Below are 15,362 nucleotides of genomic sequence, written 5' to 3'. Positions count from 1 at the left end.
GTCAACATCCAGTCATCCTCCAACCAAAGATCATATGAGACTTCCACCAGAAATTGAATGTTTCATATAAATAGAATCATACAATATGTAATTTTTGTTTAGAGGCAAGGTCTCGCTATGTTGTCAGGCTGGTCTCCAACTCCTGGGCTCAAGAGATCATCTTACCTTAACCTTCGGAGTAGCTGGGATTACACATGTGAGCCACATGGCTTACATGTAGTCTTGTGTCTGGTGTTAAGCAAGACACAAAAGTTCCTGAGTGGAACTTCCCCTGCAAGTCACCAGGATGGACCCTTTGAAGTTACCAATACTCACCATTATTCCTTGAAAAATCTGAGTTCACCTTAAATCTACCTGCCTGCAACCCTGGAAAGAGAAGAAGCAATTATTGTCCTTAAAAAAAAGAGAGAGAGAGCTTTAGACTGTGCCCCAGGCTCACATGGGCCCACTGAAAATTGAATTGGGAAATAATAAATTAGTATATCTCACACTTTAATATACATGCTGATCACCTGGAGTTCTTATTAAATGGCATGGTCTAATCCATTAGGTCTAGAGTGGGCCCTGAAATTCTGCATTTCTTTCTTTTTTTTTTTTTTTCAATAGAGACAGGCTCTCACTGTGTTGCCCAGGCTGATCTTGAACCCTCCTGACCTCAAGCAATCTTCCTGCCTTGGCCTCCCAAAGTGCTAGGATCACAGGAGTGAGCCACTGCACCTGGCCTAGAGACTCTTTCTAACAAGCTCCCTGGCTTTTGGACCACCCTGGAGTAGCAGGGGTGTAGACTACTGTTCCTTAAACTGGAGTCTAAGAAAAAATATATGCAAATTATCTATAAAATATGTAAATATTTTGCTCTTACTTAAATTATGTTCTTTTAAAAGTTAATATATTCTAGTCACTATATTGGATCATTTGATGACCACCTTGTAACGAAACCCTGCACTTGATTTTGTATTTGGCACCAACCACAAATTTAATTTTCTGGGGCTAATGGGAAAAGAATAGAATACTTCTTGTGGAAAGGACAGCATTCTGGCTAAGTGAAGGTCATACGTCCTTTACGGCACACTGCACAGAAGTTTAACAGAAATTCAAATAGAGAAGAATGTTGAGATAATTAAGTCAATTATAAGCATGCCAAACAAAAAAGTACATACCATAGCAGTGAGTTCCATATTCTCATATCAAAGGACAATTTAATTTCAGCAAAACAACAAATATAATTCACCACACATTACATACATCATATTAATTGAATTTTTTAAATTTGTGAATTTAATTTCTAAAATTGTTTTAGTTTTATAGACGTGAGCTATAAGAATAAGAAATTATTACCTAAAGTTTATGTATAATTAAGAGACATAATTAAAATGACTTAACAGTTGGAAGTTAGCAAGAATTTTTTTTTTCATTCAAAAGTGGCCTCAAACATTACTGGATATTGGCAGACACTGCTATTGACTGTTTTTTTTTCCTTGTCTGCAGTCTGCCCTTGACTGTGCTTTGGGAGAGTAAGAGCAAAGGTTGTATCCACACTTGGAGGATGTTGGCAGGCGAGGACTGGCCGTTTTGCACTGTGTGGTCAATGGTAGGACCTCTCTTAACCCTGGGTAGCTACAGCCAGAAGGGAACAAGCATTTGTTCTTGCCTGTATGGGCCTTGGCAGTGACCCCAGGCAGCAGCCGTGAAGAAGAAACTTTGACTAGGCACTGTGGCTGACTCACCAGCCACCCACTATCAGTAACTGGAGAGGACTTCTTTGGAAGAAATGAGTAACCGTAGGATCACTGGGGATACCTAGGGAGAAGAACCTCAACAGAAGGTTGGACTCTACTCGCTAGGTAGAGCTCAGAGTGGTATGAATTTTAACTTCAAAAAAGCACATGACTTAAACTGACTTGATTTTGTTGCCTACGCTGGTGAGGTGGGACATACAAAGGTATACAGGCTTTCAGTGAAATGTGAGTCCTATCTAACCTGGTCCCCAACAGGAGACCTTGGTTAGGTACCTGTCTGCCTTAGCTAGTCAGTTAAGGGAGAATTTCATCTTTTTACCTGCCTGGAATCTTCATGCATAACTTAAAAGCAAAAGCAAGCAAATTTAAATAATTTAAACCTTTAAAGAGGTGTCACACATGTTTCCAATAAGTTCAGGATTCTGTGACTTGGGCTTCCTTTAATCACAGAGCTGTGTTAAATATACTTAAAAAAATTCAAAATCCTATACCATATACCTCTGAGGCAGCTGGCCCAGATTTGTCACCATGTGAGCATGGCTCTCCCTCTTCATTTTCAGCAATTCTTTCCTTTTTTTCCTTTCTTGCTGAATAGCAGCAGAAGACCCATTAGCAATCCTGATATCAGGAACTCTACAAAAAAGTGTAAAATTTTAAAAATCTAAGACTTCTTCCTACTGTCAGTCCCACTCCCAAAAGATAGGCACTATTGACAGTTCTTGTGTACACTTCCAGAATTTTCTCTGAATATATAAGCTAAACCTACATCTCTTTTCCCCACACACAAGGGATCATACCATATTTCACTTACAAATGTGTGTGGAAATCATTCCTTAACAAAACATGTAGATACATGTCATCTAAGGGCTGAGCCATAATATATTTAACTTTCTCTAATTAATGGGCATCAGGCTGTTTCTAGTACTTTGCTGTTACAAATAATGCTCTAAAGAACATTTTCATCATAAAGCTTTGTACACATAATGAAGCATTTCTTTAAGACAAATTCGTGGAAATGCAATTGCTGGGTTGAAGTGTATGGCCATGTTTAACTTTGATAAATGCTGCCAAATTGACTACTGATTGCCTCACTGTGTGAGAGTTATTACTGCTATAATCCACCTCTTCCTTATCATTCTGGGTTTTGTATTTTTCACATTAAAAAAATCCCACATTTTCTTCTAGTACTTTTAGTTGTGTTTTTAAAATACTTAAAAATCCATGATCCTGATCTCAGGATTGCTAATGGGTCTTCTGCTGCTATCTGGGAAATAATTTTGGTGTAAGGGGATAGAGATGTAGCTTTTTTTTTTTTTTTAAATAACTATCCAGTTGTCCTAATACCACCTTATGGAATAAACACACACCCACACACATACACGCACACACACACACACACCAAATTGCTTTCATCAGATATGAAATTCTCGAAGTTTTTGTTGGATCTAGACTGTTTTTTTTACTTTATGCCATTGAACTATTTATTTACTCCATCTCTATTTTCATTTCTTGTTGCTGCTGTAACAAATTACCATAAATTTGGCCACACGTGGTGGCTCATGCCTGTAATCCCAGCACTTTAGGAGGCCGAGGCGGGTGGATCACTTGAGGTCAGGAGTTCGAGACCAGCCTGGCCAACATGGTGGCCAGTTATAGTATAGGTGGGGTTCCATCTATACTAAAAAAATACAAAAAATTAGCCAGACGTGGTGACACACACCTGTAGTCCCAGCTACTCGGGATGCTGAGACAGGAGATTCACTTAAACCTGGGAGGCAGAGGTTGCTGTGAGCTGAGATCACACCACTGGACTCCGCCTGGGTGACAGAGTGAGACTCCGTCTCAAAAAAAAAAAAAAAAAACAAACTCCCAAAAAACAAGAAAATTACCATAACTTTAGTGGCTTAAAAGAGCACAAATTTATTATCTTACAGTTCTGGACATCAAAAGTCCAAAACAGGTTGCCAAGCTGTGTTCCTTGAGGAGGCAGGCTCTAGGGGAGAATCTGTTTCCATGCCTTTTCCAGCTCCTGGAAGCCACCTGCATTCTTTGGCTCATGGCTCCTTCCACCATCTTCAAACCTAGTAGCATGGCATCAAGTCTCTCTCTCATCATCTTTTCTGCCTTTTTTTCTCCCTCTTGCCTCCCTTTTATAAGGATCTTTGTGATTGCATTGTGTCTACTCATATAATCCAGGATAATATCCACATCTCAAAATCTTTAACTTAACCACATCTGCAAAATCCCTTTTACCATGCAAGCTAACATTCACAGGTTCTATGGATTAGGGATCTTTGGAGGCCATTATTCTGTTGCTGTGGTCTCTAATCCCAGGCTCTTTTACTATTGGAATTTATAATGAGTTTTAATATCTGAAAGAGTTCATTGCTGCTTATGACTTCTTTTTCCAAGATGAACATATTTTTAATTATGTGAATTTAAAATATGTGAGTCCTTGATTGTGACTGAAATAATAAATTACATTGACAGCATATATAGTGTACCTAGTATAGCTGGTATAGATTATCTGAAAAAAATTATCCATTATAATTGCGTATATAGAATGTAATGTGTATATAGAAATGTGTTCTTAGGACACTGATTATACATATTATAAACCACTTAATCTGTATCTATTTCTTCTTAATGTAAACATTAATGCAAATTAGTCCTCATAATTTTCATTCATTTAAAAAAATATATTGCTCATTTACTATTTGCTAGGCACAAGAGGTTACCATTGCCCTCTAGTCAAGTATTTTTTATTCTTAGGATTGTGACTTATTAGTGGATTGTGAAATCAATTTGGTGGATCATGACTAGCATTTTGAAAAAAAAAAGGAACTGGAATAGACTAGAAAATATCAGAGTGTATCACACAACATGAAGATAAGCATTGTACTGTGAAACTTTAACTTTGGTTATGTGTTTGAGCATTTGTGTGAATATAAATTGCAATATAAAATCTCTTTCTTACTTGGATGTGGCGGCCAAAAAAGTTTGAGAGCTTCTGGTCTGAAGGGAGAACTAATAAATAAATAAACAACACAAATTAGAATGAAGAGTGCTTTCATAGATTAAACTGTAAACTCCGTGAGGACAGAACCAAGGCTATTTTCACTCATCATGATTCCACCGCAGCTTAAACTAATGTGTCGTAGAACATCAGCCCTCAGTTACTGTTCTTGAATAGATGCATGAATGGTGTGGCCCTAGAGTACTACGGAAAGCCATGGAAGGAGATCAAACAACCAGCATGTTCTGTGCCTTACATTTTGCATGGTTTCCATTAGGAGCCTTGGACTGTGGGGACAAAGTTTGGTGAGGAAAATGATCTGATGTAAAATTAAAGACCACGCAGTCTGTGAAAGGGAACCTTGAGGGACCTTGAGTGACATCTAGTGGATTCTTTGACCAACGGGGAGACACCAGCCTAAGGAAATCTCTTTCCCATTAGGTGACATGTTATTGAATATGCTGTTTGCTTTTGAGAGACAGAGAGAGAGTTGGGCTTCATCCATCCATAGTGCATAAATGTTACTTTATTTGTGGGTGAATATTGTAGGTTTATTAATCTGTGCCCTTTGTTTTGTATTGGTTTTGTAATAGGAGCTTTATCATCAGATTGGAAAATCTTGATTAAGCTTCATGACTTTATAATGTGTTACTCAGCACCTGGTACAGCACCGTCAGCTGTGTAATAAACACCTGTTGTTGGCTGGCTGACATGTTTTAGTCATTCATTCAACCTGTGGTCATTGATTGGATACCACCCACATTAAGGATTTCATTCCTGGCTGGAAGTTAGAAACACCAAGGAAGTTTTTAGTAAATGCAGATGCCCTTGACACACCCTAATCCCACCTCACTTCTCATTTAATTGGTGAGGGTGGAGCTGAAGCTTCTCTCTATAGAGGGATATAAAGATTTATTTTTTTCAGCTCTCAAGGTGATTCTACTGTGCAGCCAGGTTAACATTTGGAAAGGCACTGAATGTCATACACCATCAATGTAAAACAGGGATCCCTACCCTCTATATTGGTACTTCTCAAACTATCTGGGGTGAAAGACCAATTCACCATGGACCAATATTTTTGTAGAAATGAATTACTATAAAATGAAATGAAAAAACAAAGACATACAGCATAATAAAAAGCAAACTCCAATATTTTATCAGATTCAACAGAAATTAATTACTCTGTCAAATTTCTCTAAAATGTTCTAACTCTTACTCTCAGTTTCTGGATTTATCTTGTTTTGGACCAGTGACAAACCATTTACAGCATGGCACTTTGAGTCACACTGCTCCATGTTACATTCTAGATGGAGATGGGGGCAAGGAGAAGACAGAGGAGATGCAAAACACACAAGTAACCGTAGTAGCAGGACACACAAATCATTCTTATTGCATTTAAAGAGGAGGCCTGCTGACCTCTTAGTTAGTGCCTTCCATGTGGCAGAGCCCCATGGAGCCACCAGGGCCCAGAGCCTAGTCCTTGGCTTTACAGAGCCCAAATTTTGATCTTCTCAGAACACACACATTAATCAGGTACTTGGCACTGTCCATATGCTAAACTGTTTTTAAGAAACTGGTTATAAAGTAAAATCACTCTCTTTTTTAAAGCAAATATGCCTTTGGAAGGGACCAGATACTGATGTTTGCTATAATGACAGCCTCTTTCCAATATGGAGGTCTCCAGGCATGAGAAGGTTATTTAGGGAACATAGAATAGAGATCTCTCCCAGCCCCACCATGGAGCATCTCCCTCTAGTGATGACAATACTCATGCCCAACTGATGCATGTGTCTGTCCCTTGGACAGTGCTTAATAAGCACAGACAGACTCTGACAGCCTGTCACACTTCTAGGATGTTCCCTTCTGTCCATTGCCACCAAGCAGGCATGTTCAATGTACTGGTTTGAGTCAACAATTTCTCTGGTTTTAGCACTTCTAAGTATATCCCACATTACCGTGATTGGACTTCAGTGATCCCCAGATTATTTTCAGCAATAGATATGTCAACTATCTCCCGCACAGATTTGGTCCACAGATGACTCATCCATCCTGAGCTGGTCACTCCTTCTCACCTTTTATATGCAGTCTTTTCCTTCTGCCTTTAATGTCCTGCCTTCCCTTTCTTTGCCAAATTCCTTCTCACCTTTTGGATTTCAGCTCTCAGATTGGATCCTCCCAGAAGCCACCTTGACCTCCCATCACTCAAGGCTCAATTCCCTGTGCCCAAGTAAAGCACACAGCCTGTGAGGCTGCAATGGCCAGTTTCCTCTCTTCTCTCCAGTTGACTTTTGTGCTCCTTAGAACAGTGATCCTGGCTTTTGTTTACTCTTGGGTCCCCCGTAGCCATACATGTTAGAGCCTAAAATTAAAAAAAAAAAAAAATTGTTGAAATAAACTGATTTTTCCTGCACCATTCTCAAAGGGTAATGTAATGGCAAGGGGTAGTACAGGAGATACAGCCAACTTCTAATCTTATGAAGCTTTGTGATGACGGTAGGAGGGAGAGGTGCAGTGTTTCTTGAAAGTCAAGCTGAAGAGTATGAACATTAACTGATAGATGATGAAGGTGTGTAAGAAAGGGAGTAGGATGATAAAGTGAATGATTTAAGAAAAATTAATGTCATGGTATTGAGGAAGGAGAGATTACATTTGGGCAAGGATTGAACCTGGCACACTGGTTAAAACAGTGGTAGTATCTCCCCATGAGGGGCATCTCAGAATCACCTGAGATGCTACATCAATACCCTTCCTTTCCCCACCCAGTTTCGATGTGTCACCCACACCCTTCTAGGTCCCATCCCTAGTTAGTAATCACTGCCGTGGGAACCTTTGCACTGAGGGGAGTCTGTTCTATGCCTGAGGTGTAGGGGAAGGAAATTCAAAAGTCTGTTGTAATCTTGTAGATGTGAGATACTAGAGATTTGATGTGTTATCATCATATATTTAAACAGTTTAAATAATGTTTCCAATTTTATATGAGAACTTTTGCTGGAGGTAAAGCAAAACTTATAATAGATTATAACAAATGGTGATCTTAAAAGCTTATTGCTAGTCACTTGACTAAAATTTGTATTAATTTTCAGTAAAGGCTGTTGGGCCCCCTATTTATTATAGTTCCTGAATTTTCTACTGAATGTTGACAGGTTAACCCAGCATTTTACTGTGGCCTAATAATTTTCACTGGAAAAACCAACTAAGTTATCTAAATTATATTGTAGGCATTCAGCAAGTTATATACATTTTTATTCTTCAATCTGAATTTCCGGGAACACATTAAAACAAAAATTAAGGTTGTGCTTCACTCTTTTTAGGTTAACTTTCTCAGAATTAAAAGACAAACTGCCCATTATGAGTGAGACAAATGTCTCTTTCATCAAAATCAGTGACTTACAAAGTCTTGCAGTTGCTGGTTCAAGTTTACCACTTCTAGTTTCTAACTACTTTAGGTTCTTCTCCTGTCAATACTAGCACTAAGGATTATCGAAGTCACACAGTTTCGAACCCAACTTTTTTTTTTTTTTGAGACAGAGTCGCACTCTGCTGCCAGGCTGGAGTGCAGTGGCGCGATCTCGGCTCACTGCAAGCTCTGCCTCCCAGGTTCAAGCGATTCTCCTGCCTCAGCCTCCCAAGTAGCTGGGACTACAGGCACCCGCCACCACGCCTGGCTAATTTTTTTGTATTTTTAGTAGAGATGAGGTTTCACCATGTTAGCCAGGATGGTCTCGATCTCCTGACCTCGTGATCTGCACATCTTGGCCTCCCAAAGTGCTGGGATTACAGGCGTGAGCCACCGCGTCTGGCCTAGAACCCAACTTTCTATCTGAGCATCAGGTTTCAGAGAGAGAGAGAGAGAAAGAGAGACAGAGAGAGAGTTGTAGGTGGAGGGCAGGGCAAGGCTTAAATGTGAGGCTTAAATTTTGTGTGCCTCATTCCTTCTTATTGATGACAATCTGACTATTAGGCCAGTCCAAACAGGTCTATATACCTTCCTGAAATACACACCCAGGTGTCCTCTGGTGTGCAAAAGAAGATACTATAATAATAAGAAAATCACATATAAATGGAATTTTCAATTACAGGAACTTGAAAGTACAGATGAGTCATAAAGATTTAATCCAACAGGAATTTGTAGGCTGTTAAAATCAAATTTAGAATTAAGTGAAGGAATTTGGGAACAGGCAAAAGATATACATAATATTTGACAAATCAATCTCAGAGAACATCAATTTCCTTTATTGCCCCTACTTCTATACTGCTTGTTCTCAGATCCTTGTTAATCCTGGAAGCGCATCAAGGGGGTCAGCCTGTGTCTGTTGTGGGGTGTAGGGTCCAAAGAAATGCTCTTAGTCATTTTGTATTCACAATGATTCATTTCTTGGGAACTGATGAAAACTTATTCTAAAAGCCAAGTTGGGGTTGGGGGGAGAGAGAATAAGTACAAGTGCTCTGGCAGGCTAGAAATAACTTACAGAATCAATAGTTTCCAAGTTTCTGACAGAGCCAGGTTAAGGATGTTGGAATTGCAGCAGTTGTACCTACTTGCTAAAGCTGACACATACATCCTTAGACAAATGCACACTTACATTAAGGATGCTGAGTTGAATTGTCAAGGGTCCTCCATCCCAGGACTTAAAAAAAAGAGTCCTGGGAGAACAATTCTGATGCCCAACAAAAGGGAATAAATAAATTGAGCTATGGTTTAGCCATGCACACATAGAATGGTATTCAAGTATTACAAATAATGCTTATAAGTTTTACTGACATGAAAAAATACTTATGCAATATTAATTTAAAAACTGCAAAATTAGTATATGTAGTATTAGCTCTGCTTAAGAATGGCATGCATAGGGAGGGATGAACAGGTGCAGCACGGGATTTTGAAGGCAGGAAATTATTCTGTATGATACAATAATAGTGGATACACATCCGTATGCATTTGTTAAAACCCATTGAATGTACAACACAGTGAAACCTAATGCCAGCTCAAACTTAATGCATCAATATCAGCTCCTCAGTTGTAACAAACACACCACACTAATGCCTGATGTTAACAACAGGGGAAACCAGGTGAAAGGGGAGGGGAGAGGGAATGTATGGGAACTCTTTGTACTTTCTGCTCAATTTTTCTGCAAACCTAAAAGTGCTCTAGAAAATAAAGTCTAGTAATTTTTTTAAACTGTATTTTTAAAAGACTGAAGGGAAATACAACAAAATGTCAGCCAGAGTGTGCCATCCTATAAGATAGTGATAAGCTCAGATTTCCTGAGATCAAATTCTGTCTCCTCTACTTACTGCTTAGATTAAGTACTTGAACTGTCTGTGTTTCAGTTTCCCTGTCAATTAAAATGGGAATCATGATAGTACTTATCTCATAAATTTCTCCAGGAAATCCACATTATTTTGATAATTATGAAAAACTATATATGCATTGTATTATAAATTATATATATGGAAAGTTATGTGTGTATATAGTTTATATTAGTTGTCTATTGCTGCTTAGCAAGTTCCTTTGGCATAAAACCCCAGTAAACTGTTACCTCACAGCTTCTGTGGGTTGGGAAAGCGAGAGTAGCTTAGCTGGGCGGTTCTGGCTTAAGGTCTGCTGTAAAGTTGTGGCCAGGGCTGCTATCATCTGGAGCTGAAGGCCAGAATGGGGCTGGAGGATCTGTTTTTGAGATGGCTCACCGCATGGCTGGCCAGTTGGAAGGTGAAATTCTCCATAGTGCTGTTTGAGTGTTCTCACAACATGAGGGCTGGCTTCCTGCAGAGAAGGTGATCCCGGAGAGGGCAAGGTGGAAGCCTCCATAAGTTTTTACGCCCTAGCCTTGGAACTCACCATCATGCCTACAATATTCTATTTGTTACACAAGTCAGACATATACATTGTAGGAGAGAATGACATAAGGGTGTAAATACCAGGAGGCAAGGATTAGGACCATCGTGGAGGCTGGCTACCATACATGTACCTATGTGTATATCTGTATAAGTCAATGTGTCTGTATATGCCTGTGTCCATGTGTGTGTGTGTATTTGTCACCCTGCTGAAGCATTATCCCAGTGCACCTGCATGTACATTCTTGTCCTGTGTATTCTATTGAAGCAACCCCCAAAGCTTTTTTGGCTGCCTAGCACTTGGTCTTAGCAGCCTCTTTCTTTCTTTCCTTCCTTCTTTCCCTCTCATCCTCCTCCCTTTCTTTCTTCAAGAGATGCTCATTGTATACCTATTAAGTGGCAGTGAGCCATCTCTGTCCACCCCTCTGACTCTACCTCTCCTGCGCTTGCCTTCTATGCCTGCCTGTTCTCAGATGCCCTTCCACCCTCCCCACCCAGCTCTGGTCCCTGCCCACCGTCCACCCCATCTGTGCATGGAGTACTCAGAGCGCCTAGGCTAGCTGCAGATCCCTTGTTATGCTAATGCATCAGTCCTCCTATTGCCGTTAACAGGCAGCTGAGACTGAGTGCGACGCTTAGCACGATAGCTGGGAAATCACAGAAAAACACACCCAGAACAGCTCAAGAGTGACTATTCACACAGATCAAAGAGCCTAATATTTTATTCTGAGGTTTTCATTCTCTTATAACCATGAAACTCCGAAGCTCAGTAAAAAGTCAGCTTGGATAGCTTACTATGATTATTAACAATAGACCACTAATAAATACATGGTCTGTAAGGCACTTAGGGGCTCACAAAGGGGAACGGCTGAGACACACGGGTCAGCCTCAGCCTCCTCAGTTCAGCAGGGGGGCTCCTAAGAGACCTGCACATAGGCAGAGAAGAAGCAAAAATTAACAAAAGAATCCAAGAGACTGAGATAGTCCCTTCCGCATTTGGCAGAAAACCTAAACTACAGTGACTCATACAAGGAGAGGTTCGTGTCCCTGTCCTGTGAATAATTGAGGGAGGCGCTCCTGGGCTGGCATAGTGGCCCTGCTCTGTGATGTCCTCAGGGACCCAGGCTCTTTCCAGCTCCTGCTCTGCGATCCCTAGGGTGTGGCTCCCATCTTTATGGTCTAAGTTGGTGATTAGGTCTCCAATGCATCCATATTCTAGGCGGCCACTGGAGGAAGAGACAAAGAAATGGGGGCAAAGGCAGGTGCCTGCAGCTCAAAGGAGAGTTTCCTGAAGCTGGCACATGTCACTTCATCACTGGCCAGGGCTCAGTCATGTGGCCACACCTTGATGCAAGGGAGCCTGAGAAGTGTGGCCTCCACTGCAGGGCTGCAGTGTTCCCAGCTGAAATGTGAGGCTTCTGCACTTCTAATACTGAGGGAGAGGGGAGACTGGAAACTGGAAGATCCGTAGCAGCATCTGCCACAGTGGAGAAGGACGAATCGCCAGCAATCCAGACCTCTGGCCCCTCCCCGTTCCAGCACATCTCTATCTCCCTCTCACACACAGCATTTCCACTGTGTGTCACAGTTGACAGAGAGCTGTCATGTATGAGACCCATTTTAAAGGTACTGCATTTTGATTTTATTAACATATTAAAATTGATTACATACAAGGCAAGCATGTCCATTGGCAACTGCTCCCAAGCTTGGGCCCTCCTCATTGGCCATGAGTTGACTGCTGTGGTCAGGTTGGCATGTGTTCTTCCCAGGCTCTTTCTATCAGGCACACCTTGAAGAGCTGCTGCTAGCATTGGGGAGAGGTCTGAGGTCTCCACAGAAGGGGCTCTACACCCTGTGCCTAGCATCCAAAGACAGTTACTTAAACCACCAGACAACATCCCCCTACCTGTTCCTTGCTGCCTTCTCTCAACCCTCCTGGTCTTCATTGAATCCTCACGTGGCCCCACGAGCTTGGAGATCTGGGCCAGTTGCTCTGGTTGAAGCAGGCTCTCCCCTTAATTTTCATTTCTCCTTCTTGGATCAGGTCTTTTACCAGGCAACTGTCAGGATAACACATGCCCTGGCCCCATCTTAACCTGTGCTCTGAGCCTCCCTTTCGACCTGGACAAACTGGGTTGCCCTCCTCATCAAGGACAGCATCTGCACACTGGCAACCGTTATTGAGTGCTTGCCCCCTACCAGGCACTGCTGTCTGCACTTTGAAGGTCTTAACTCCTTTGCTCCTCTCACCCACACAGCTAATAAGCACAGCTTTGCTAACAATGCCAGGCTCTGGGCCTGTCTTGGAAATACTGGTTCTGTGGAAGGAAGTTGGACTGTGGAGTACAACAGATTTATTTGCTGTAGGTTCTTAGGCAAATTACTCAACCTCTAAAAATGGATTATTGACACCTGCAAAGTGTGAGGAACATTAAAAGAGATGGCATACAAAGCACTTAGCCTAGCGCCTGGTACATAGTGTTATTAATTAATGGCAGTACTTGTTTATGAAGATAATAAGTAATTCAATAGTGTCTGATGGGAGAGTGGATTATTTTAAGATCCTGCCCAATGCTCCATCAAGTCACTGCAGAGTGCCTGGGGTGGGGAGGAAATACCCTTCCATGTACTCTCTCTTCAACCACTGGTTTTCCTTGCTACTACAATTGGGTCTTTGCCCTAAAATTTTTCCCTTTTTCTTTTAGTGCTTTAAGACATTTCTGATTTAAGCATGCTTTGGTAGGAGATCGAGAATTTTTCTAAGTCTGTTTGGGCTTGCAGCATTTGGAATTATCGTGCATATCAGAATCTTTCCACATATGAATGTTTTATATGCTTAGGTAATAAGAAAGGGAAGGAAAGATTTTACAGAATCACAGATGTAGTCTTAATGGGAAAAGAGCAAGAGAAATATCAACCAAAAGAGGAGAGAATTGGAACTATATCTTCATTTGGTTTATAGGGAAGAGGAAGCATGTGCCACTATAAAGTGTGATCATTATGGTGTGCCTTTTTTGTTGTTGTTGTTATAAGAATTCCAGAATCTACACATTCAAACTAGTACAGTCTTCCAACTTAGTTATTTGGGGAAGTTATATGTGTTTCCAACAACTTGACAATTTCTCAAATATTATCAACTGATATCTCATTTTATCACTACCATCCAGGTTCCTGTATGAGAGGGTACCAATATCTGTCCCTTGTAGGTACTCTGTCATCCCAACCCGTATTCTTAACCAATTCTGGTTGAAGAAGAAGATAAACTAGGACTTCTAAACCCACCAGCACTTGGCTTAGTTAAGTGCCTTCTCTGTGCCAGGCATCATGCCAGGATCTGGGTTTGCAGAGGTAAATATAACACAGTCCCTGCCCTAAAGGATTTTGGAGACCAGAGAAGGGATGATCTAAAAGCCTGTACACTTATTCTCCCTCTCTTTGCGAGGGGTAAAATTTCCAAGTGTTCATGGAGTTGAGACCAAGCAGTGAGAGAACTGTCTGTATTGACATAAAGCACACACTCCAGTCCCTGAGTCATCCTGGGGCACCACTACAGTCATCCTGGGGCACCTATGGTTGTTGCCAGATTGGCAAAAATCCAAACCAAGAAGAACTAGGTAAATGCTGTGACTGTGGAGCACTTTGCTCCAGCTAAAAGTCAAGTTTACCTGAAGGGCAGCCACAAGTGCCTCTGGCTTGAAGCTCTTCCAAAATGAAGGCATTGTGAAATGGGAATTTTGAAAAAGGCAAAAATGTCAATCTCTTTGAAGTAATTTCTAAACTCCTTAATTTACAGAATGATAGATTTAATTTTGGTCTGAATTATTTTGGTATCAATGATGTCAAAGCAATTTGTCCCTGGATCAATTCAGTGAAGAAAAAGCATCTTCAATGTATCAAGAGGTTGGTTTTTTTGTGTGTGGTAGAGGACATTCTATTGCTTTTATACTAACATTCTAGAAATTAGTCCTTATATTTTATGTTTCCTCCAAATCATTTGTAACATATTTATTAAAAACTCCAAGTGTACTTTCTGGTACATACAGTTAAAATAAATGCACTAATTTAAATGATCAACAGTTATGAAGAGGCAGGGTCCCTTAGTGGGTAAGAGTATAGTTTCTGGGCCAGGCGTGGTGGCTCACGCCTATAATCCCAGCACTTTAGAAGCCCCAGGCAGGTGGATCACTTGAGGTCAGGAGTTCAAGACCAGCCTGGCCAACATGGTGAATCTCCATCTCTACTAAAAATACAAAAATTATCCAGGCATGGTGGCACGCTCCTGTAATCCCAGGTACTTGGGAAGCTGAGGCAGGAGAATCGCTTGAACTTGGGAGGCAGAGTTTGCAGTGAGCCGAGACCGCACCACTGCACTCCAGCCTGGGTGACAGAGCAAGACTCTGTCTCAAAATACAAAACAAAACCAAAAGAGTATAGTTTCTGGCCCTACTCTGCAAGGATTCAAATCTCCCTTTGCCACTTACTATCTGTGCGATTTTGGATGGGCTATGCAAACCCCCGTGCTTGTTTCTCCATCCATAGAATAAGAATAACGGTATCTACCTCATAAGATTTTTATGAAGATCAAAGGAACTAACAACAAAAAGCACCTAGAACCATCCTGGCACAGAGTAAGATCTGCTCTATAAGTAGTAGCTGTTATCATTGATTGGACACTTACCATATGCCATGCCTGTTATATATATCACTGAATTTACACCTCCCAACTCCCCTCTGAGCAAGTATTAGTATCCCCATTTAGCATATAAGGAAACTTG

At 40.9% G+C, this 15,362-nt stretch overlaps 1 long non-coding RNA gene across 3 annotated transcripts in view; it reads left to right on the top strand.

Annotated features, from left to right (window-relative positions):
- Nucleotides 1-15,362, top strand: part of LOC101927764 (uncharacterized) — a 41,770-nt gene that overhangs the window by 1,038 nt on the left and 25,370 nt on the right. The window lies entirely within an intron of this gene.

This window comes from Homo sapiens, chromosome 2, assembly GCF_000001405.40.
Source record: "Homo sapiens chromosome 2, GRCh38.p14 Primary Assembly".
NCBI classification, from domain to species: Eukaryota; Metazoa; Chordata; class Mammalia; order Primates; family Hominidae; genus Homo; species Homo sapiens.
The sequence above is the reverse complement of the archived record's forward strand: the minus strand, read 5'-3'. Positions and strand labels throughout refer to the sequence as shown.